The 26,319-nt window shown below is 36.9% G+C and overlaps 1 protein-coding gene across 79 annotated transcripts in view; it reads left to right on the forward strand.

Annotated features, from left to right (window-relative positions):
- ARPP21 (cAMP regulated phosphoprotein 21) overlaps positions 1-26,319 on the forward strand; it is a 155,634-nt gene that overhangs the window by 18,368 nt on the left and 110,947 nt on the right. For 46 of the 79 annotated variants that reach the window (NR_170705.1, NR_169632.1, NR_169633.1 and 43 more), the window contains exons 2-4: positions 22,567-22,740; positions 24,494-24,660; positions 25,628-25,669. Coding sequence is in view for 69 of the 79 variants with exons in the window: in NM_001385490.1 (NP_001372419.1) it covers positions 24,532-24,660; positions 25,628-25,669 (171 nt within the window). In the remaining 10 variants the exon portion in view is untranslated. Of the gene's footprint in view, positions 1-13,911; positions 14,015-22,067; positions 22,313-22,403; positions 22,741-23,605; positions 23,698-23,719; positions 23,951-24,274; positions 24,343-24,493; positions 24,661-25,627; positions 25,670-26,319 lie in introns of those variants that run through there. The other 33 variants (XM_011533301.4, NM_001385592.1, NM_001385591.1 and 30 more) reach the window with 11 other exon arrangements.

A 26,319-nucleotide genomic window follows, 5' to 3' on the forward strand; every position in this document is an offset into this window, starting at 1 on the left:
CAGTTACCTCCCACATATATGTACACGCCCTCAGAAATTGCCATCCATTCACAACTTAAAGAGCCCAGTGGCTTCTGAAGGAAGCCCATACCATTCTGAAGTAGCTATAATTTTTAAAGACACTAAGGTCTCTAGAAATGTCTGGAAGATCAGGTCTCCAGAAGAATTGGCAGTTTAATTCTAGCCAGGGATCTGATCAGGTGATATCAATAAACATCTGTTGAAAAAATGCATATGTTTCTCTCAGTGAACGAGTTAATAGCTAATACACTTATAATGGCAACTCTGTGTGAAGTACTTTTCTGAGTACTTTATGTATATTAATGTGCTTAATCCTCTCAGCCACTTTTGAGGTAGGGACCCTTATTATTTGCATTTTCAGATGAGAAAACTGAGGCACAAACACATTTGGTAACTTTCTCAGAGTCAGTGGTGGAGTCAGTCTTCAAGCCCTTGATGTCCAGCTTCAGAGTCCATGCAGATAGTCTCAGTTGACTTAGTCCTAAAGGCAGCTGTGGGTTGAGGTTCCAACAGCCTCTGGTCTGCTTCATTCCTCAAAGTAATCTCCAAGCCCGAATCCTAGCATGGTGGTAGAGGTGAGGCTCCATAAACCTTAGAAATAGCTCTCCCAGATATGACAACATTTGGGCCTTGGACCAGTGGTCGTGCATCCACTCTACAGTAACAGGGGCTTCTATAGTTAATTTGATTCTCAGTTTTAAGATTACTAGAGAATCAAATGTTGAGTATGCACTTTTGTATGTTAGTGGGATATCTGAAGCAACATTACTGATAAAAAGTAATTGCACATTTCTGGATAGTGATAACTGGAATAATACTCTCTTGTGATAAAAGATACAGTTTTTACATGGTTTGGCATCTTTCTTTAATCAGTACCCATGATTATATAGGTGAGTCTTGCATTCCCTTCTTGGTGAACACATTCCAGACTCATAGATTGGGCATGGTGATGGCAGGCAGTGGAAAAAGCATGGGTTTTTGAGAACTGTGTTTGAATAATTTTTATGCAGTTTGACTTTGGGCAGGGAATTTTATCCTTTCTGAACCGTTTTCTTTCTTTCTCTTTCTTTCTTCTTCCCTCCATGAGTGAATGATTCGTTGTAGTGAGGATTAAAAACACTATGTGTAAAGTGTTCTTTTTGGCATTTTGTACATGAAATAATGTATGAAAACATGATACCTATTATCTGCTTGCTATGAGTTAAGATATCTGTATTTAAGTGGAATTAAATATGAACAACTCTGGGAGTTTGTGATGATCGTTATCCAGGTACCAATTTTTAGATTTACTTTCAAAATCTAAAAATGATATGCAATATCAATTTCTCTTGGTTACAAAGACTGGTGCCAAGGTTTTTCTCCTGATGACATACCCATAAGCCTTGTGAGGAAATAAAGTAATTTAAATATGAGCTTAATGCCAGCACAGCCATAGAAGTAAATACATGTCTATAAAATGAAGCACTTAATTCCTTTAAGTAGCTGCCTTTTAGGTTCTTTTCTGAACTGACCCCTTTTTGGCCCCCAGGCTCTGATGTGTAAGGCTGGACCTGTGCTGTGCTGAATTTCAGGAGAGAGTGTACAAATGTTACTCACAGTGTGAGTAGTGAGAGATGGAGTGCAGGCCAATCTTCTGCAGCTGGGAAGAGCAATTAGCAGCTTCATGAATTAGGGTCTTGTTTACACTGTTGTCCAAGATAATCATTTGTTTGTTTTAACTAAGATGCTCTATCTTCATCAGAGGCATCAATCCTCATATTTAAATGATAAAGTCTTTGAATTTCACAGATAATGTTTGGATTTCACAGCGGGAACCCCACACAGCACATATTCTCTCTTGCTGACTTTGATAATCAAGACATGAGCTATGTATATTGCAAGTTTTTCTTCAAATAGATATGAAAACACGATGTCATCTATTCTTGCAACATTTTTTACACAGACCCATTTTAAGAAATACTTTTAACATTACGTCCCAGCACACATACATACATGCTTGTGAATGCACACAGAGTCCACAAACACTTGTGTTCTTCATGTAGACACAGCACACAAGCTCAGATTTTTTGGTTAAATTTATGCCTTCAAAACACATTTTAAAATATGATAATATGAATATAATATAAATAGTTAATATTTTAAGCAATTGAAAAATTAATACACCTTTCTGGGTTTAGATGATTAGAAGACATTTATAGAAGACATTTACATTTTTAGAAACATGCATTCATTTCCTATTGTATTCTAGACATCTTGGCGGGTCCTAGAGACCCAGAGATAAACAAAGCACAATCCCTGCCCTTGGTGAACTTACAGCCTGACTCTCATATCATTTCAAGGCCCTAGGATAAGTGCTGGAGTGCAGGTGTGTAGCCTGATAGAGACATCAAGGTGAACACAGAGGAGGAACAGATCATGAAAAGTGGGCGGTAGAGAGCTAGGAGATTTGTTAGTAAAGGGTTGAATCTCATTTTGTTGGTTAATATACAAGTTTAAAGCAGTAATTCATCACATGTTGTAAGATGAGTTTCTCAAAAGGAGAAAACCTTTAGAGAATAAAGGTGGCTGGTGTGTTGTTCTGACTGATGGAGGGGCTTCCTGTTTTATACCAAAAGCACTGTATTGTTCAGGAGCAGCTCAGTCAAAAGACATTGGTCCACAATGACACCTGGGTGTGTAAAGAGTCACATAAGTTCTTGTAATAAAAACATCAGAGAGCTGTTTTATGACAAGAGTCACAGGTGTGCATTGCACCATCTGCTGGCATAGGGAGAGCATGAGAGGCTTTGCCAAGGGACAGATCAATGTTCTAGCCCTGACAAGCCTTCCTGGCATCCTTCTCAGGGATTCTCAGCTTTTGGACCTTGACTTCTTTCCCCTTTTTGACATAGAGCAAAGCAAGAGGTGGTTTAATAAATAATCATGAGGTATCACTTCTAAATTACTGAAAAATCTTTTAAATATCTGCATTTACATGGTTCTTTCCATTTCCTCCAGGAGAACACAGGGGGCTGGTCTATTCCCAATTCTGAATAAAACACAAGATGGTATCTATAAATGATCGGCCCAGCCACCAGAGGACCTCTTGCTCTCCTGCATTTCTTTGAATTTGTTCTTAGCCTCAGCTTCTGCCTCTGGGCCCCATCCTTCCAGATGTGAGCAGGCCAAACTCTTACTCTGCTTCCACCCCCTTATCCGCACATACACCATAAAAGTGCACCTCACTTTTTGCCCCTTCAAACTATCCTTGCTATTGGCTATAGTCTTTGCCCTCGAAATCTCTTCTGTGCCATCCTTGGAGAAAGGTCTGGAAAAGGAGAGCAATACTTGAACTCTCAAGGAAAGACAGAGGAAAGTTGCTTCTAACTCTCAAGTGTGTGTAACAAGAGGTTAAGATAATGACTAACTTCATTCTCAAAGTTCACTTCTTGGGGGATAATTATCAGATTCTTGATGGGTATTTATCAGTAAGGAGAATGACTAACTTTTGACTGAGGATTTTGAGTAAATGCTTCTATTCTTTTTTGTGGGGTACTACTCTCTTTATCTTACTGGATGGGAGATAGTTGTGGGTTTTTTTCCCTAAATAATGAATTAGTCTAATTTAACCCTTTATCTTGAAAATTAGTGAACAATCCTATAATGACTCATTTGGAAGTCACTGCTTAGCATACTTACTGAAAAACAAAGAAAATATGTAGTTGGAAAGCTAAATTGAGTAACTCCTTGTTTTTAGCAGATTATAAATTTCTTAAAGGCAGGTACAGGGCTAAATCTATCTTTGCATCTCACAATTTTTAGCAGACTTTTTTACACCTAGTAGGAGCTGGGTAAATAATAGTTTATCAACTTCACTGGCATAACAAGGCCTAATTACACACATGATCACATACACATGGATTACCTGTACAATTGAAACTGGACCCTCCAGGAGAGCGAGTGCTTTACTTTGACCAATTTAAATACAAATCTCAGCCTTGTAAAACATCAAATACAGAATATAATTTAATATTCTCTCATTGATTCATTGTCATAGTATGAAAATCAGTTATTGAGCTATATCGTGAGAATGGTGAATTTGTGCTGTTAAAACTTCACCTCCTCCAGGCATATCCACAAGGAGAAATGGCAAACAATGGGACAAAAAGAGGAAAAGAGATAAAGTGACTCTGTCAGTCTTTACCAGTAAAAGTCATGGAATACTGCTCAGCACATAGAAACATGCTGTAAGTGTTAGTTGCTGCTATAATTATTTAGGCAGCTCCTTTATTAGAATCTTTGAACTGCTAGTATACATTCTCTGCATGGAGTATAGAAACTTGAAAATAAATACAGCATAAAGAAATCAGAACACTTATAAATTTCTTATGACCGGCTATAAAATTCAAAAAATCAACAGTATTCAATTCTCATTGACCTTTTTATGTCCTGCCTCATCTCTCAAAAGAGTACTTTTGTAGGCAACAATAATACATATTTCCTGGAGAGAGAATGAGGCACAGTGGATGCCTTTGTATTTATTGTGTTACCTTGGGCAAGTTCCTTGACCTTACTGAATTTTAGTTGTTCCATGTGTATAAAGGAGACAGTGACATACCTGTTTCTGGTTGTGAGGTAATAAATGAGATACTTTGTAAAAGTTTTGAAACACTTCATGGGCACTAACTAATTTGTAATCATAGTATCTTGAATGCCTATTATGTGTCAGGCCTGGTGTTAGCTATTGGTGATTTTAAAATTAAGTTTGAGGATATAATTTTCGGAGGTGTTCACAAGTAGACATACTTTGGATTTGAGATTAGAGAATTATGTAGCATTATAGTGGCCTCTGAGAGTTAAAGGTCAAAATAGGATGAGATTTCAGGTGTAGAAGATAATTCACACCATTGGAAAGAATCATAGTGTGTGTGGTTTATTTTTAAGCATTAAATATGTGGTCCCATATAAACCAACTTAGCAGTACCAATTGGCATACATGTGCGTACTGTATGTAGTTTTAATACTTTTATAAATATTGCAAGATTTGGAGCAGTGATGAGGTGCCAGGTATTAGAGAGGTGATTAAGAGGAGCTAACAATGGCTTAAAGCAAAATGGTGATTGTTAACCTGGGTTTTATCACTACTGCAAAGCATTTTCAACCCTTCTGAAAGGATGTCCTGTGATGTTGCAGGTAGGTTTCTGGAAAGCATACTCTGAGATAGAGTTAAGTGTGCAGGATGTTTACTAAGGAGAGTTCTTGGGACCAACCCCACAGAGGGACAGGGAGGGGAGCAGGACTGGGCAGAGAGAGAAGGTGAGCTGCAGTTCAGGCCAGAGGATGAGGACAGCCTCTGCTGATCCTGCAGAAAGCTCTGCCACTGGAATGACCTTCAGAGAGTCCCACAAAGGGTTGAGATCTCAGGGCTTCTAGTACCCTCTTGATCATTTATTGAATTATTGGATATGGATTATTCTAGGAAAGAGTGTGCTTGAGGTAGTGCAGCTCTCTGCAGCAGAGACAGTTCAACAAGAGGCAACAAGACCTTGAAGGGAGAATTGTGCCCACCAAGTGAAATCTACCAGAAGGGTAAAAAAAATTAACAAAGATTGCATATTCTCACTTGTATCTGGGAGCTAAAAATTTTGATCACATGGAGACAGAGAGTAAAAAGATAGATAACAGAGGCTGGGAAGGGTGAGTGGCATAGGGAAGAAAGGATGAAGAGAAGTTGATTAAAGGGTACAAACATACAGCAAGATAGAAGGAATAGATTCAATGTTTGATAACAGAGTAGGGTGACTATATTTAACAAAAAGATACTGTACTCAGGCGATGGACACCCTAAATACTCTGACTTTATCACTATGTATTGTATGCATGTTGTAGCATTTCTCATGTACCCTATAAATTTGTACAAATTAAAAAAAAATAACAACAGAAACTTCATGATGCCTAGAGCAGACGTATCTAAATGCTTACCCCAGAATTGAATAAAAATTGTGTATTGCTGCTAGGGAGAAAAGGCTTCACTGGATTTGGGTCAGTTTTTTCAAAAAAGCTGTGATCTATACGGTTTTTAAACCCCTAACATTCTCCTTGGAAATAACAATCAATCACCTACAAATCAGAGTCTCTCCCACCTGGACTGAAGCCCAGTCTGGGCGCATAGTTCTTGCATCTGACAATGATTTAATCCCCAGACAAATTTTTATACTTTGAACTTTTTATTATGGAAATTTTTTAAATGTGCACAAAATGGAGATAATTGTGTAACAAACCCCCATGTATGCATCATGAAGCATCAGCATTTTGCCCTTCTTGTTCCAGAGAAATTTTTAATAGCACAAAGCACAGCCTCCCGTGTTGATCGGAGACAGATCTGGAGGGATGTGTCCTCGGAGCGGGGTGAGATTTCACAATGTTTGAAGGTAGGAACATCTCTTAATAGCACTGACGTGAGTGCAGTTGAAGCTGTCAGAGCCACGGTTCTGGGAAGTGGCACGCTCACCCCCACAGTCCTCCGGAGTAATGCTGGGCCATATACTCGCATTTCCACTGTCCCAGCTTGCCTGCTGGGCCGTGGGAATTGGATTTGGACCTGGAATGTGTGCTGATGCCTGAGGCTATCTTAATGCTTCATGGCACCCAAGAAGGCCATACTTGGCATCTCAAAAAAGGTGCAGGGCATTTAACATGTTTGCTTTAGTTTTGTAATTATGCTGTGTAACCGAGGGTCCTCTTGGAAATTGTTGCAAATGAAAGTGAACTGTCCAGTCGTCCGTGTTCTTGGCAAATTTTCAGCCCACTATAAAGCGAAAATCAAAATTTCTGTTTAAGAAAGGAGTATCTTCAAAAAAGCTTGCAGACAATATCTAAAGCAATGTTTGAAATCTTAATAGAACCCTGTGACTTGAACACCTAAACTATTTTTTAAAGTTTGATTTTGTTTTTAATTGACACGTACATATTTATGGGGTATAATGTGGTATTTCAACACATGTATTCATTGTGTAATGATCGAATCAGAGTAATTAGCATATCCATCACCTCAAATATTTGTCATTTCTTTGTGGTGAGAACATTAAAAATCCTCTCTTCTCGCTATTTGGAAATATGCAATACAATATTGTTAACTGTAGTTACCCTATAGAGCAATTTCTAGAACAGAACTTTTTCCTCCTGAGTGTAACTTTGTACCTGTTGACCAGACTCTCTCCATCATCCCTCCCACGATCCCTAGACTCTGGTAACTGCTATTCTATCATTTCTGATACCCTGCAACTTCAAGTCCCCAGGTGGCTCTGCCAGAGCGTTCACGATGACGTCCCATTCCTGTTAAGCTATGCCTCTATCCTCAGTGGAAACAGCCCGGGCGTTCCTAGGAGTGAATCAGCAGTCCGCTTTATCCCTTCGAATTGAGCAGGAATTTGTTGGTTGTTTGGCTCCGGAGCAGGTGGCGGCGGGGGCTGTGGCGGTTGCGTTTCCTCTTTGAGGTGGGGGCTCAGCTGTTTCCTTGGTCATGCGCCCCTGGTAAGTGCCTGGAGGAGGCAGAAGGCCAAGAATACAGCTGAGACTTGGTCTGCTGCCAACTCCCAGCAGCTGCTGCTCTGTTCTCTGAGCTGGAACCGACTCCAGGCTGCTATGTGGCCTGATCTGGCATTCAGGGAGGGGCTTCAGAGGAGTGTCACTTGCATACTCTGAGTGACTTAGCCCACCTGCTATTTTGTGTGTGTGTAACCTAATTCAAGTGAGACTTCTCCAACATTCGAATTACATGAAAAATGTTAGGTCACTGAAAGAAACAAACTTTTCGCTCCTTTGGAGGCCAATGAATTTGCAGATCTTAAAGGAATGATTTTAAAAGTTAAAAGCTGAGTGGACCACCCTAACTCAGAATACATGAGTTTAATATAAGTGTGTCTTGGTTTATATTTATGTCTGTCTACATATGCACAAAAGCAACTTGGAAAGAATACAGGACTAGAAGAAGAACAGAGTCTTAGGCTTTATGTGGCCTTTATGTAGATAAATATAAAGGACAACAGCATTGCCCTTGGCCTAAGCTTTTTTTTTTAATATGATAACAAGATCATAAGCGGCCTAAGCTTTTTTTAATATGATAACAAGATCATAAAACTCTCATGAAATTATGAGAGCTTGTTTTTGAAGTAAAAATTTAAAGTAAGTGGAAAGTTCTGAGCAAAGTGCTATACATGGACACTCTAAAAATATCTGCAGAATCAAAATGTGTACTTAGATACCACACACATACATCCATGTATCTAGTTCTACATTGAAGTAGTTAATAGGTCTTTTCAAATGACTTTAACACTGAGTTGTTTTGTATAGTGAAAACATTCATTTGGAGGTAAGAGGTTATATCAAACATTCAGGATTTAGTCATTTCCTATATTTGAGAAACAAGAAAAGAATCCTCTGGGTAAATATTGCATTTGTTCATGAAACCATCCTCATTTTCAAAAGCACAGCTGCAGATGAAGAGCTACTTAATGAACCCTATTCCATTTTGTAAAAAGTTAATACAACTTCCCCCTGGAGTCTCCTAGAGGGCAGGGCTGTACTCCAGTCATCGTTGTAATGCTTGTTCTCATCAAGGTATTTAGTTAGTGTATGCACAATATGTGGAAGGCAGTAAAATGTATCCTGCTCATTAATGGTTTTTTAAAGGAAACGTGATAGAATGTGTGCATTGTTGTGGTTTCTAAAACACCCAGATCATTGCTCACTGTATGATGGCTCAACTGGGCTGTGCCCATATCCTCAGAACCTCAACTCCAACCTTACGGTTCAAAGAATAGTGGTTGGAAGTAGGAGCTGATTAAAAGTGGCAAACCTACTTGGGGGATACTCAGTCAAGGAGATTAATAAATAGTATATACTGAGAATGATACAAATGAATACCGATGTTGTCACTTATACACCCTTCCCTGAATCTAAACCTACCAAGCAGAAGGGAATTTAATTTCTTTAAATGGAGTTATAGGGTATTCCCACAAACTGCTATTTTTTTCTGAAAATTTTTTACTGGTTTCTTGTAGAGGGAAGCAAGCTTAGAACAAAATATTCCAATCAGTGGCTCCACACAAAAATATCCCTGAATTCTTAAGAAATTTTAGCCCAAGTCATATTGCAAAATTATTCTTGACTTTGTTTTCAGTGATTTTGAGTTGTTTTGATTTTGACATTTATTCCAAGCACAAAACATATTTTATGATAATTTAAATGTCTATTTAATTAATCTTGACATTCTTTTGGCATTATTCAACTAGTTTTAAAATTTTTGTTAAATTATTTGGTTGTGTGTAGGTGTAGGGTTTTTATTTTAGTTTGTCTTTGACATTAATTTCAAACATACATTTTTATAGACTAAATTCCTTTTATTGCACATTTTATTAAATGTACTTCTTCTTAATTTTAGCTTTATTAACAATTTTTCCATTATCTTTACTTTTCTATTTTTTGATTAAATGGGTAATTATATTTCAACCACAAACATGCTTTACAGTGTGATTAACACTGCAAACAGGCATCCAAATTAATTCATTATTTTCTATCTCTTCTCAGTCTTTATGTTTACTTTTTCCAAATATAAAATTAAACAGGTTTTTTTGAGATTTGGAAAGGTTAGAATAAACATGCAACCTCAACTATCCCCTGTGGTTCTACCCACCTGAATTGCCACTGGCATCACTATGGCATGCCTTCAGTATTTATTGCCAGTCATGTAGTAACTATTATCCTCACTCATTTCAAAAGCGTATGGATAAAATTGAAGTCCCAGAACCAATCTGTCAGAATTTAGGCTCTGCCTCACCCCTAGAGTGAAATATTTGATATGCTTAATGTATCTATGACTCAGCTTCCTCCACTCTAAAATGTGACTCTTTAAGGGCTAGTCCTATTATCCTACATTCTTTAATCAAAATACTGTCAGGCACAGAGTGAGTCTCCAATAAGTATATTTAAATTGTTTTAAATTGATACTATTTATATTAACATTTAACTTAAGTTTTATTCAAAATCTCAAACTGTATCATAGCAAAACTAGTTTTATTTAGCAATCTGATTTGTGGTAGTGATAATGATAATGGTAAACTAATTTAAGAATGAAACCACAGTCATTTTGCATTGTGATTACGTGTCATAATCTCATGACTAGTTAAATTTATGTATTAATTCATTAAATAACTAATTCATCAAGTTATTATTGAATTCCAAGCATTCTACTAGATGTTTTAGTACAATATTCCTCATTTTAAAATAACTTATGTGAGAGAGGGTTAAGTCACTTTCAGATTCTTCTCAAAGAAGCAGTAATCTTTTTGCATTGACTCTTGGAAGTTGGACTCTATTTGTAGCTTCAATCACTTCTTAATATATTTGAAAGAGGTGCTAGATTAAAAGAAGAGAAAAAGATATGTAAGAGTCCTTCTAGTTAATTAAAAGGAAATGTAATCTAGTCTTAAATTGGATCATAATGCATGACAAGTTAATTTATAATGAAATTTTGCAATGGTATTGATGCAGTATCACTCCAAAATACTGCACTTTGGAAGTCAGTAAGTCTTGAAGATCACCTGCAGTACTTTTATTCTCAAAGAAGAAGAAGAAGAAGAAGAAGAAGAAGAAGAAGAAGAAGAAGAAGAGGAAGAGGAAGAGGAAGAGGAAGGAGGAGGAGGAGGAGGAGGAGAAGGAGAAGAAGAAAAGAAGAAGAAGAAGAAGAAGAAGAAGAAGAAGAAGAAGAAGAAGAAGAAGAAGAAGAAGAAGAAGAAGAAGAAGAAGAAGAAGGAGAAGAAGAAGAAAGAAGAAAGTCATAAAGTAAGTGAGAACACAAATTTCCCTCTCAGGAAATTCACAATGTCCCTCCCTCAGAAATTTCTTGCTACTATTCATGGTAAAGTATCATCTCTGACTTTGTTCTTATCCATTTTGGGGGAAGAGTATTCCTAAATATAGAAGTGTAAATTTTTGGAAGTGTATATTTTTTAATAAATTAAAATAAAATGGAAACCTAAAAAACAGAGCATTTTTAGTATTTGGATGGGCAGCATTTCTTTTCAGTTTTGCAGCATCACCTTAAGTGTGGCATCTTGGTGAGCCTAGTGGATTGCCAGTAGAGCAAATAGCCAATGTAGTCCACTGGCTGGCATGCTATCTTCTCCTTGCTCCTGCTGGAGTCTCTGAAGTGTAGAGCAATCATGGCCTAATCTGGAATTGGCATCTGGGAGTATGCCCAAGCCCCATATGAGTGGTCAGGCCACAGAGTTGCCAGCAGAGAGCTAGTGCTCCCAAAACTGAAAACGAAGTCTACCAGGATATGAGGATAGTTTTGAACCACACAGGATTTTAGATACCTGGGATCTGCCGTTTTTACATTTGCAAATTGCCAAGATTCAAATTACACAAATTATCTATGCACACACATAAATATTTAAAATTATGATACTAATAATGCCTTGTGAGACTGACTAAAAGTAGTCATTTATGTAAATATGCTTAGACTTCTTTGGTACTTGGAGATTCAAGTTACTTCTCTCGTCATCATGCATGTTTTGAGATGCAACAGGATCTCATTTTGTTCTTTACTTTCTTTATATCTTATTTCCACTGAAAATATGTAATCTTTGAGGCATAGAACACATTTTTCTATTTAGCAGACTTTATCAAATACGGGGAAATGCTATTCTTAATATAATACTTAACTATAATTATGAACAGTCCTCTCTGCTAGGTGCTAGCAATAAAGAATAAATGACCCCTTTTGTTTTCACAGTTTTACATTTATTTTTGCTGCAGCCTTCATCATATTAATACATTCCTCCAAATATTTCATATTCTACTTTCATATATTTGCAGGAGAGTTTTTGACAGTTGGGTCTTCCTTCTTTCCTTCTTTCCTTCCTTCCCTCCTTCTTTCCTTCCTAATTATAATTATGAGCAAAGAAAGGTAATAATTTCTCCCACTACATAAGATTTTTCCCAAATATTAGGCCTTAGACTTTATTAAGGAGACTACTCAACAAAAAGATTCCACTTCTGAAAGTACCTTGCTATATGTTACAAATGCAACTACTGGCTTCTCCTTTCTTATCTACTTTAAAATCTTGAAGGTTTCACAAATAAGCCCACAGCTCAGAAGCTGAGTATTTTATATTACATAAGATTGACAGATAGTTCATTTCTGTGATATATCAAATTGTAAATTTGATTCTTTTTTGGATAATTTTATCCTAGCAATTTCCACATCCATAGTTTGGATGTACACTCTTTTAAACGTTCAAAACCACACTTTCTTATGTTTCCGTTCTTTTGTGTAATGCCAGATTTTCAGCCTCCATTTCAGGGATCAGATTGTTCCATTTGTCATAGGAATGCCACATCACATTTTCTTTTCAAGTGCAAGGTTACACATTACAGACACCCAAGTGGGTGGGTTAACTTCACATCTTTCTTTCTGAAGTGTCAATTTGCACTAGGTGTACCAACAGTTTTCTTCTATTGAAGTGTCTGTAAAGTACACTTTAAGACTATTTTGTGTGCCCATCACAACCATGTACAAAGCTAATTACCCCTTCCAGGCACTTAGCTTAGGCATTGTAGAATCCATAAATAAAATCCCCAAATCTTCAACTTCATCAACAGGACTCCCCAGGGAGTTTCTGAGCACAGTTTAACCGTTTTTCTTCAGTACTGCATGGACCATTCAGCCCTGGGACCACACACCAATGTCTGTCATCATCTGAGTTCAGATTGACTGTGACCCTCCAAAATATCAATAGTTTCTGCCAGGTCCTTCATTTAGTATAGTTTGAGAATCTGCTTTTTCCTCTTTCTTTAGTAACAGGTAATGATAGCAGGTTCTAATAATTCACAGAGATTATACCAGCATTTATTTTTATAAGATCATTGAAAAGTATTAAATATTTTGAAACATGAACATTACAAAAAGCAAACACCCATTTTCTTTGACTCTGGCTTGCTAGGATTGAAGGGTCTTATTGTCAGGTTTGTGCAGGGAACACCCAATTAGGAGAGTCCATCATGCAGATGTTCACCTGAAAATGCTTTTAGTCTTGAATGTAGTTACATTCAACTCTCTCACTTCTCCTTCAAACAAGAATGTTTTGTTTAAAAAGGAAAAAAAAAGGAATATCAGATAAAGTCAGTCTTACAGCAGGCAGGGGATATGAGGAGGTTGACATCATCGGGTCATATCAGGCTTTTTAGGTAGAGCATGCTCCTGTGATCGTAATTCTCACATTGAATGATGATAGGTCGGCCAAACTCAAACTGCAGCCCTTCTCTTACAGATGACCAACCACATGATCTCTTTCAGTTATTTTCAAAGCAGGGCATCTGGAGTCCGATCAGCATTGCCACAGATGGACCCAGAGCCTGAGTGCTGCCTGCCACAAACAAACACACGCCAATTCAGATGGTTTAAGTGGGAAAGTACCTTCTGGCTAAGCTGTGGACACATTGAAAAAAAAGAAAAACACGCAGATTCTGCTCCATCAATGTGTTGTGAGGCTCCTGAAAATGTTTTCCTCCCAGGAATGTATTCATTTATCCTTTCAACAAGCTGGTATCGATAGTGCTCCTGCTCTGCACTAAACAACAGTTGGAAGATACACTGGCCTGCGGGCCCTCTCTGTCCAAGGAACTTAGAGTCTAGTGCTGGCATTCTTCATCTGGAACATTTATTCAAAACGCTAGTATTTAAAGCATGGCCCCAAACACAAGTCAAATCCTTGACAGCTTAGAAATAAAGGCTTTGAGACACTCTTTTGCATATTTATTTTCATATGCCATACATTTGCTGTACCAGAGTCTCTGTAAAGGCACATAGCTCCTTTCACTCCCCTGGCTGCTTTCCTTGTCTCCCAGGAAAAGAGACATCAGATGAAAAACACTTCTGCAACCCGCTCTTCAGCACTTGAGGTCCTGAACATGGACACTTTTCCTGCAGTACATCCACACCCATTCTCAGGTAGTTTTGTTGTTATTCTCTTGCGTTTTCCATTTAAACACACTGAAAGATATTTAACTGTGGTGAGGAAAAATTCCAACACAATGTTGCTACCAAAATAAATGCCAATGTCAAATGAATTATTTTATATTTCAAGTTGACCTATTTTCAGAAAGTCTGAGGAGAGTAAGAATGATTTCTTGAACACTTACATTTTTTTCTAGCAAATATGTTGATCTCAACACAGCCCTTTTTTGTTTTCATGACTGTTTTCAGTGGTGTTAATATGTAATTTTATGTAACACTATATTGGGCAATGTAGAGAAAGGAAGAAACAAAACAGGGAGAAAAAACAAAAGACCCTAGCATTTAAGAGGAGGCAGAGCAGGCACATGTGATGAGAATATATTATCTTCCACTTTGTAGTAGGAACACCGTTGCCCCTGAACTGTGTGGCACTTCCTCCTAAGGGGAAAAATGACAGTTCGATGAGGACCCTGTTAGAGTAAGCACTCAGAGGAAACCTCATGCAATACTGAAAGAAGTCAAGTGTGGAAGAAAGGAGAGAAAGACATTGCTTTATCTAGTATTTTTGTCACCTAGCAATATAAGCAAGGCCTAGATGTTTGGCCAGTTTAATTATGATAAATCATGCAATTAATGATGCCATCACTTTCTCAGAAAAACTCAGAAAGCACCAAGAGCCTGAAGAAACTCAACCACATGTGCATCATCAGTTCAAAGGTTCAGCACTCTCCTTTTATCTTTAATGAGAATATCTTTTCCATTGTCTCTGTTTTTCCTTACTTATATGCTTTAGTTTCATTAAGATAGATTTTCAAAATTAGCTTTCAAGAAGACATTGAGAAAACCCTAAGTTTAATGTTAGTAGTGTCATATGTGTTTATATTATATGCTTCAGTCCTCTGAGTTGCTTTGCTCTCAAATCCCTTTGTCTGCTGACTTCTGTAATTAGTTTCATAGCTGCTTCCTAGCAAGCACCATCTCTTTCCTTTCCCCGGTATCCTATCCAGAAGGCCACAAAATATTCTGGACAGTAGGAGATCAATAAATATGCCTAGCTCTCTGTGAATGGATAGACCCACTATCACAGAGCTTAACAAGACCAAAACCTTCATGAGATCCAAACCTCCAGAAACATGTCCTGGTTTTACTTTCAGGTACCTTCTAGTGGCTGTTGGTTTAGTTTAAGAAAAAACTTTATTGCCACATTAGTTTTCATAGGTCTTTGCATGATTAGATATCTTGGCCTTTAGGTGGAGGATGCAGAAACACAGCAAAGTCACATAGCCATTACTGATTAGAATCCAGGTAGGGCTTTAAGCCTCTTTTCATTCACTGAGTCAACAAATCCTACTATGTGCCAGGCACTATTCTTAGTATTGGGGTTAATATAGAGATACACAAAATAGGCAAAAATCCCCATGATTGTGGAGTTTACATAATAGTGGGAAGAGAATCTTTTTTACTACTTGGTTCAAATTTTGAGCTTTGTTAAAGAATGATTCATCTGCTTTTTCTGAGACCTGGGGAATCCAGTGATTGAACGAGCCATCAGCCAGCCAACTTAACACTAAAGATATAGGACAGGCAGACAGCTTGCTGTCTTCCCTGCTGTAGGCTAGCAATGAATAGATGTATTTGATGTGAGGATAAGATGTAATAATCTGTGTAGAAAATTCAGTCAAAAATTATCCCTGTAGTACTCAGTAAAAGGTAGTTGTAATGATATATGTAATAATCTATGTAGAATTATTAATAGATGTAATAATCTACGTAGAAAACTCAGTCAAAAAATACCACTGTAGTACTCAATAAAAGGTAGTTGTTTCATTGGTGTGGTTGTTGAATCTTGCAGAAAGAGAATGCTATTAAGATGTTAACACAAAACTATAGCTCAGAGCTGCCCTATATAACTGGAAACTCCCTTTGTTCCTGTGTCTTCTGAAATTCCACAAGCTATGCTTAGGATGGCAGCATACATCCGTTTCTGCTAATCTCTCTCTGCCCTCTGTCCCTCCCTTTTGGAAGTGGAGTACACCTCCTGTGACCATAGCTTCTGTGATCACAGATTCTATATGCTCACATTTTGCCTTTTAATTTTGAGGACTTGCCCCCTTTCATTCTTTTGCGCCCCTAGAAAGAAAATCCTTTCATTCGTTTTGCTGTTAAGGAGGGAGCTGAGGTCATAGATGGGCAATTTAAACTTCTATGTTGATTCCTTTTTAAAAGGTTTGGGAGTGATGATTTTGGTAATAATAAATCTGAAAAGGCAATATTAAGGCATGAAATAGTCATTTATGGTAGCAAATACAAAGTATTGACATAAAACAAAGATGTCATAGCAATGGAAACATCTTATTTTCCCTAATGTATATATAGGAGTAAACATGGCTTTTATGGACATTTCAAAAATCAGACAAAATAACAACTTAGCAATTTTTGTTTGCTTTTATTCATTTTACCTAAATGTCTCTTCCTTTTAACTTTCTTTGAGAAAGGTTTTAATAACTCAAACACTTAGCTCCCATTTTGGCACCTCTAACTGCATCACATTTGTTATTTCATTGTTTTTGAAATGACAGATGCTTCTTTCACATCTTGGAGGAATGAAGAAGAAAAGAGTTCATGTCAGATATAATGATTACTATTAAAATTAGTATTTCTCCCCCATTTATAAAAAATGCCTTTTTTCTTTGTGTTGAATTGTATGTTTTTGAACCCTTTAAACCAGAATTGAAGATATGCATTTTATGAAAAATTCTTGTTCCATTAGAGAGTGTCTCCAATAGAAATAACTGAAAATAAATAATGAATTGTTTTCTTGACATCCAGATAAAGAAGAAACTTTTAAATATTTTATTGAATTGAATTGAACTGGATGTAGAATGCAGAATTTCCAGTACCAGTTAGATTAATAATGCCCAAACAAGAGTATCATCATTTCAGAGGATCATTTCACGTTTTCATCCCTGAAATAGTACTTCTTGATATAGGAGATCATAGAACAGTGATACTGAGAGAAATATATAGGATAAGTGTGTAACTCACTGAGATTAAGAACATTTTTGTCTTAGAAAAGTTATATGGTATCGTTATCCACAAGATCCCAACAGTATTATTTAAGTACCTGTGAAATTTGTTTCAGTTACACAAGGAATCATGAGGCCATTGCTCAAGTCTGAGATCCTGGCTTTTTGCTTGAAGATTAAGGAGATGTTTTTTTTTGAAATGTTACCCGTGTTTCAGCACCAATATGGATTGTAATTAATTGTTCCACATTAAAAAATTATGATGCCTACCTACAAAACCTGGGTATACTTTATCTGGGAATAATGCAGGCATGTGATTTTCTATGTGGCTTTTGGAAAGATGGGCACTATGAGTTATAGGTGTGGAAGGAGGAAATTGGGCAGCTAGATCTCAGACAACTTTATGGCATTCTGATAGCTATGAAAAATGGGCCTTAAGGATTTTCAAAAGGAGAAGCTGAGCATAATATTTAGAAACCCAAATGTGTCCATGTGATTTGGGGGATAAAACCAAGAAAGAGACACACATGCCATCATCAGATGATATGCTCAGGACATTTCTGTGCAGTATTTGTAGGCTCGTTCACAAGGAGAAAAGATAGCGGTCCTGTGAAAAACAATGTGTGGGTCTCTCTTGCGACATACTGGGAATTAATTGCACAGATTAGGTAAACTTGCCCTATATTTCTAATAGAACCATCACTAGAGAAACACAGGTTATTGAAAAGAGCTCTGACACCCAGTCAAAACGATTATGTTTCCTGAACCATCTCTGCTTGTAGATAAGTCTGGTTCTAGATCTTGTCCAAATCATTGAATTTAATGTCAGTTAGGCTAACTAATTTCAAGCTCCTTTGCAGCTCTGTGGTTTTCTGGGAATTTGCATTTTTTTTTTAAAGTTTGCATCATGCTGGAGGTTGATGACACCACCTTTCATGTGGGTAAATTATGCCAGACTCTTAATAGAATGATGTTGGAAATGTAAGGTGGTGATTTGCCTGTATGGGTTATGGAAGTTTAGGCCATTTAAAAATCTTTGGACTGGTCTCAATGGTCACACACTCAAACTGAAACTAACCTTGATGCTGTCGGATTCTTGGCTTATTTTCTAGCATGGGAGCAGAGCCTTTGGCTTCTTTCTCTGTGACATTGATTTTGGTCAAAAAAACCCTCCTTATCTGTAGCAGAAATATGCACAAACTGGGCCAGTCTTGTGACAAGGCTGCCCATCAGCTATTGCATTCCATCCAGCTCTCTCATTCAGATTATTGACATCCTGATGTTTGTATTGTTCCAGGACCATATCCAGGGTAAGCTTTGGGAAAAAAATTATAGAGTTGTCTTTTTCAGTGAAATATGATGTCTGTTACCCTTTGTTGGTGAAAGCACATTGGCTGTACATGCATTGATTCTGGTGGAGGTGCAGGTGTTCTCTGAACATTGCATTTTCTCTATCTAACCTTTTTATTCTTGCCGTGTCCACATTGGATAGATAAATAGCAATGTATGTCACCAGGTACTGCTAAGATGAAGATGATGATGATGATGATGATGATGATGATGATGATGATAGCATTTAGTAGGTACTGGTGTGAGTCAAGTACTAACCATGGAATGTTACATCCACAGAACTAGTCTGTATACATATGTGTCATCAATATGTCAGAGGAAATTTTGTAAAGCAGAATTCCAATTTCCCCTCTTATAGTATCATTTTCTGCCTTTGATCTGTAGGTGTGTATATTAATTTGCTTATTTTTTAATTTGTATTCAGGAAGAAAAAAAGATTTTGAAATGTGAGATTGTGTTAGTTCCTCTGAATAACATGTCACAATGTAGAACATTCTTGCTCATAGTAGAAGCTCAGTAAAGACTTGTTATACAAGTGAAGAAATAAAACACTGGCACAAGGCCTTTCTTCAGATGTTTTTATTGACAACAGACTTTCCTTAGTTTTAATGGCATTCATGATTATTATGGTGCTACTCCTTTGCACAGCTTTGGCATCAGTTCCTTCCACTTTTGGCATTCTGCTAAATGTTGATCTTGGTTATGTTTGATCCAGGTTACTACACTTAAAAAAGAAAATGTGAGATCCTATATATAACCTTCTACATGTTTATAAAATGTCAGGCTCTTAGATTAAAGCTTAAACAAGGATGTTCATTAAAACATTTATATTCCCTGAAATCTTAACCAGAAAATTTATTTTCTTAAATGTCCTCCTCTGTTCTTCCAATAAAATGGTTCTCTGGCAATTTTGGCATTTTCATGATGGCTCAAGAATCTAACAGAATGCCTGCACATGAGGTTGAGTTTAATTAAAGGGTAAAGCTCCTGGTTGAGTGTTTCTTATACACTATTGAACGATTGCATTTTGGGTGTGTAATTAATGTGAAAATTTCTCATTGATATTTTTGATCACCTTGGGAAAATTTCAGACTTGCTAAAGATATTAGTATGTGCATTCTATTCATGGCGTTGTTGCTCTTATTTTTGAAATGATTACATCCCAATGACTTTTTTTTACTTGCTTTAAACTTAATTTTAAAGGTTCAAAATCTTTCTTAAACTTTAACAGAATAATTGTTTTGAGAATGGGTTATATGCTTGGCTTATATAGTATTGCAATATTTATATATCTATGTGGCAATTTGACAAATCAATCATCACCCCAATATACAAGTGGTTTTCATTTACAGAACCATGCCCAGCTTAAAAAGAAGAAGCAGTGCATATAAGCAAAACATTTCAATTTCAATAAGTAAATCTTGACTGTGTTGTTTCATCATAAAGTACCCATTGCTAATTTGGGTTAATATTCGTCCTTCTCTTGTTTTTAGCATAAATATTGTGAAGAAAGTGACTAATACAGTGACACTCCCAACTTATTGATAAAAATTTACCTTTAATTTCCCTTTCATCGGTGAACTAAATTATTGCCGAAATTTGAATCAAATCTGACCTTTCTTTCCCAATTGGTAGCACAGTGATTAATATGTGTAATACACACACACACACAGACACACACACATACACTTAGGACATATCTATTTTGATAGTGATGATGAAAGACAGCATATCATATGTGGTGCTTTGCATTTTGCCTTTGTTCTCCCTACCTTTCTTCCTCATCTCCACAACCTGAATTGTTACTGTGTTCAACTCTAAACTAAAGAAATAAGAAACAGCGTGAATATAAAGTGATATAGCAATTATTTTACTTGCTTTCTTCATGGTAAATAGTTTACAGCATTGTTGATTAATTTCCTGTAGCTTAATTTGCAAACTATTGACAACCTTCTCTAAATGCTACCCATAAAATTATGTTTAAAATAGTATTTCCACTAAAAAAAGATAGTAACTTTTATTTTGTGCATTTATATATAGTCTCTTCTTTCTCCTTCCATCCTTCAAACTGTAACAGTTGAAATTTGGCCAGAATATTTATTAACCAAATGTTGAAGAAAAGATATTTGTTGAAAATAGTTTGGGTTATTTACAAAAATGAAAGAAATTGAAACAGATCAAAATGAAATGGCAGTGGAAGAGTCCGGTTAGTCTGGTGAGCAGAAAGCTGAAGTAGGGTTGATTTCCTGGCACTGCTTTCTCAGCAAAGAGAACAATTTTAATCAGTTACAAAAATATTTGTGATCCATATGTTCCTCTCTGCTCATTCCCATATGCCCATTTTCTCTTTTATCTTGGTAGATGATGACTTTATGATTCAGGCATGCAAGAATAATACCTCGCTGACTTTAGAGCTCGGTGCTATTTCAAAACGTGTCCTGGTAATTACGCATACACATATATCCAGGCTGTCCCTGCTTTGAGTTAGTTATGTGAATATCAGTTTGTTCTTTCTCTCTTCCTGGAAAGAATTATATCTTGCATCCTCCTACTGAGGCTGGAATAATGCATCTAAGACTTAGTTTTGGAAATTACATTGCTGTTCACCTGCTGAGTGAACTGTACAAATATGAGGGTCTTAAAGAGAAATCAAAAGAGTTTCTGTGATCCTTGAGAACTTCATTCAACTTGGAAAAAGTACAACAGAATCCAGAATGCTTTTCGTAACCATCACTGACATTTATGCTAAGACATATTAGATAATGGGCTTCTTAGTTAAATAGTTTCTAATTTTTAAGACACGATGATTTCTATTTAATATTGAGTATTATAGTAGCTATGGTGAAACTGATCAAAATTGAAAAACTAAAATTACTATTGATTAGCAATCCACTTTTTTCCTAAATGCATGTCTAGCTCTCAAAAGCCATATAATTTCCAAAAATGGAAGAAACATAGTTTAAAGTCTAATCATCCATCTTCATAAAACATGAATAAATCCAGAAACTATTGACTGTACTACTGATTGCATTTTCAACAGTTGCTTTCCCCTTGCACAACAAATGGCTTTGTAACCCAATATGTTATTAATATAGCCACAGTAAAATCCTGTAAGGAACCAGCTGTGCTCATTTAAACTTGGGAGAAGAGGGTAGCAAGGAGGAGGGAGAGAGGGTTTCTAACTCTCAAACTACGTAACTGGGATGCATTTAGTGTTTTCATAGATAGGTATGTGTTGGAAGAGGTGTGCATGCTGTTGGATTTAGCCGTTGTGCACCAGAATAGCGTTATAGGGAAAAGGAAGAGATGCAGCCTGATTTGGGCAAATATTATTAGGAGCCCGTCTCTGTGTTTGCATTCAAGCTGTCTTTGCCGCTGCTCCTGTAGGAGTTGTGAGAAAGAGAAAGTGCACATTATAGCGTGGATTGTTTTCAACAGGCTTGAAGTTTGCAAATCTGCTGAATCCCTCTGTCAGTGTTTCTTTGCTGTCAAACAGAATGCCCAGCTGGCAGTGGCAATCCCGATGGGGAGGGAGGGCTATGGATAGATTGTGTTCACCCTGCAACAAGAATATTAGGAATTCTTCTTCCCAAACTATAAGTAGAGAGAAAAGAGCTTTCTCAGCCATGCCATTATAAAAGTTTTCTTCTTCTTTTTTTTAACTTTTATAGAGAATGTTTCATTAAATCAAAACCTTTCTGTACACTTTATTCAGGTAGCTTTCATAAAGAGAGAAACCACATAAACAGCATTAAAATGTATAATGTAATCTATAATTAAGACAAAGGCTTTGGTTAGAAAAAGAGGCAAGACTTTTGCTCATAGGTGATCCTGATCCTCATTGAGGCAAACACACAAGCTTTTTTTTTTTTTTAATACAAAGTGCGAGATTTCACTAAAAAAGGTTAAAATTGAAGTGAGTAATCTTCGGTGCATAATGCAATTGTTAATTTTAGCTCCTTGCGTGGGTGCCGTTCTGACTTGAACAGCCGGCTGTAGCCTTCATTAGAGAAGAAGCAGGCAGCTTGAGACAGGTGGAGCTGGATCAAGCTGTGAACGTGATTTGCTGGAAGCTGGTCATTAGTGTTAGAAACCCCGTCTTATTTATTTCATCCTTCACCCTACCATGATTATTGCAATTATTATTATTTATTTTTCATCTTTTTTCAGGTTGACGATGTGTCACACTGTGTAAGGGAATCGCATGGAGATGGGCATTCCGAACTGTTAATGGGGACATGGGACTCCAGTTGTCTCTGATCACTTGTGTGGATTTTCCTGGCGTAGAACGACAGAAGCCGCTAGTAAGTCGCCAAGACCTACAGCAGGAATTCTGCACCAAAGGTAAAGGTCTTGTTGTCTGGCTGTCATCTCATCTGCATTTTAGATTTATTATTATATAAATGTGCCTGCTTGCATCCAGCAGTTCACTGAATGTAACCATGACAGGATCTGTATCAGAGACTCATTTGGCTTGTAGTTTGGAGAATTAGAGCTCAATTTGTTCACTCCATTTTAAATCTGGTCATGTTCTGTTTTTTACTTAAATACTCTAAAAAACAAGTTAGGGCAACAGAAGTCCCCTATCCAATGCACTGAGAAACAAGCTGTTTGCCAGTGGAAAATGGAACTTTTTATTTTGTTAACCACGCATACTGAGTGCCACTGAAATATAAGAAATCCGTCAGAATGCACTGGATGAAATATCCTAAAACCTCCCAAAACCTGAATGCATTGCTTACTAGTCACTTTACAGACTCAAACTACCATCCTTTTGGAAAACCTCCTTTTGCATTCCCACAATCCTTTGCTGAATAAGCCTGTGTATTTTAAAGATATCATTAGATACCATCTGTTTTGTCATGGTAGATTTTAGCAAAATTTCTGTGGTTTGTATTTTTCTCATACTTCCTATTTTCAGTTGGAAATAAAGTTACTGAATTAGTAAATGGTAATTGAATACTCCCAAAGAAACATATTAAAACTCTTATTTGTCTAGTAATAATTACCATTGTAATGACTGGGAATGGGACAGTTATTGCTTGGGATTTTTTTGAAAAGAACTAACTTTCTAAGCTACAGCGCCTCTCTCTGCTTCTCCTTCTCCTTCTTCTTTCTTTTTACTTTCTTCTTCTCTCTCTCCCCCTCTTCCTTCCTCCTCCTCCCTCCTTCTCTTTCTTCTTTTTTTTTCTTTCTATTTTTCTCACAGCTTAAAAAAGTGAGGAGGAAGTAAATGCTAAATTATTCATGAGCCTCATTTGACAGCACATCAGAAGGGGAAGTGTCAGGGGTTTTATAAAGGTAGGGAGAAAAAAATAATAACAGATTTTAACTCTGAAAAGCCATTTCCAGTGTCTATAGACTATTGTGAGCCTGGAGAAGTAGCATTTAGTTGGGATAGCTTCACTAGAGCTGCCTGCCAAAGACTTCCTTCCACAGGATCTTGTCGCACCAGCAACTGACAGGAGCTTGGGAGCTCGGGAGCTTGGGAGAGGGCTTATGTTTTTAATAATGTAGCTGTCAGTTCGAAGCCTGGAAATGTTGACCCTCAAAGGTTTATTGCCAAAATTAGATACCATATTTATGCTGAATTATTACCTTTTCAATAGTTTTTTTTGACCTTGCAGACTACTGTATTCTTTATACCTAGGGAAGCATGTCTATGTTTGGAACCTGCAAATAATTTTTCAGTCATCTTAGAGATGCTGCAGAACATCAATGCCACATCTTGAGTCAGAAGTCGAGGGTCATTTGTTCAAAAGTTGGAGAAATATCCTCTTTTGTTGCTTCTTCTACTCTGTAGTGGAGAATGGGGAACTGGTAGTTGTGTGGGAGTTATGTGTCTCTAAGATTTGTCGACCCATTTTGATGGCAAGGTGTATTCACAAGTGTGTGTAAAGGGGGTGTGGATGGGACAACTGCATCTGCCTCTTGTGCATGCCTTGGGTACTTGATTTCATCTTGTTTTTTCCCCCTTTTGTATAAAATTCTCAAAATTGCTCATTTGGATTTGAATATGAAAGGAGAAATGAAATCTCTAAAGAATGATAGTAAATACCTTGCACTGACTTTATTTTCTGATATCTTAACCTTCTAGGGCATAAAATCTTGTTATTTTAATTTGCATCTGGGAGAATGTCTGAGCAAGGAGACCTGAATCAGGCAATAGCAGAGGAAGGAGGGACTGAGCAGGAGACGGCCACTCCAGAGAACGGCATTGTTAAATCAGAAAGTCTGGATGAAGAGGAGAAACTGGAACTGCAGGTGAGTGAGCATGAAGAGACCCTGACTCTCATACAACTGTGTGCAGCTCCCTTCTTTTATTTTCAGAATACTTTAGAGATTTATTTTTTAAAGAGTTTCACTGGTTATATCATTAGGAAATGCTAGTCTCCTACTTTTTCAATTTTTGTCACTTTTTGTCCTAACCCAACCGTGCTCTAAAATGTGTTTTGTGGGGAAAAAAGTCATAGGAAAGTATTTATTTTCTGAATTTGCACACAGCATCCCCTTACCAATTTCCAGAACACCTCAAGGTGTACATAGAGGGCTTCTCCCAAGGCAGCTTTAGACTAGCTGAGTTTTAAAAATGAATTTGCTATTCTGTGGAAAGATGAAGACTCAATTCATGGTAAACTAAGAAAAATCAAAGGCAGGTGTTCCTTTGACTTTCATGGGCATGCTAAGGCTCAAATCTTAGTAGCAAACAAGCTAAACCCTAGAATTCCCAGCCAAAGAGAGAGTACTTGAAGGAGGAAAAAAGACTGGGAGTGATTAAAGGAAATGAAAAAGTGCTGTGAAACATATCATGATTTACAAGGGAAAGAGATTCGGTAGAAGGAAAGCAAACTGCACTTACAAATAGCTTGTAAGTATTGATTTTCTTTTAACTAAACTACAGAAGTGTTAACTCTTTATATACCAACAGTTAACAAAGGCAGATAACTGCATGATGGCCAAAAAACTTCAAAGCTGGCTTTTCCTTGTCCCCTTTCCAATAGTTGTTATAAACAGAAAAGAGCTAAAAGTTAGTCAAAAGTTTTTTAAAGCTAGGGAAGGAGGAGTCCTCCCTAATGGTTGTGATGTTCTGTTGCTATTATTATTGACTTCTCTACTGTAGCCGGTAGTGACATTTTTCTCTCTTTCTTTCTCTCTCTCTCTCGGTTGTTGATTTACTGTTCGTTTTTGTTTGTTTTATTTTATTTTGTTTTATTTTCTTTCCAACATACAGAGGCGGCTGGAGGCTCAGAATCAAGAAAGAAGAAAATCCAAGGTAGGGTTCTTAACATTCTAGGTAGACCTGATATCATGGGTATAAATTACATATTTTACATCAGAGTTAAAGGATTTGCCAGCATTTCAGATGATTGTGTCCAGATATTGTGGGGCATCTCGGCTGTACTGGTGCTGGCTGTTTTTGATGGGGTTATGTTTATGCATGTCTTACTTTATGGCACTGCATATTTTTTAGTTAGAGGATTTAGTGTTCAAATAGCTGCAAATGTATGTATTTGATCCTGTGTTCACACTTAAGAGATTTGACAGTACTTTACAAAACAAATGACCACTTGTTTTGTGTTCACACTTAGAGATTTGACAGTATTTTACAAAACAAATGACCATTTGTTTTGTTTTTATTTTAAATAAAATTTAGAGTAGAAATTTTATTCTCACTACTTGATTTCTGCCTTGAAGTAAACAGATACTACTGTTTAGTACACACTCTTCATCCTTTTAACCATCTTCTCAGTCAAATCTCCTGCAAACTTAGTTTTAGTAAAAATTAATTTTATCACTTTTTCCTCCTGATATTTTCATGAAATGACAGCAATTCATTCTTCCTATGTTCCCAATGTGATGCACACAATTTACTAAAAGTATTTTTTTTAATTTATCTATTCACATTCTTCTTTACTTCTATCC

The sequence above is a fragment of the Homo sapiens genome, chromosome 3 (genome assembly GCF_000001405.40).
Source record: "Homo sapiens chromosome 3, GRCh38.p14 Primary Assembly".
NCBI lineage: Eukaryota > Metazoa > Chordata > Mammalia > Primates > Hominidae > Homo > Homo sapiens.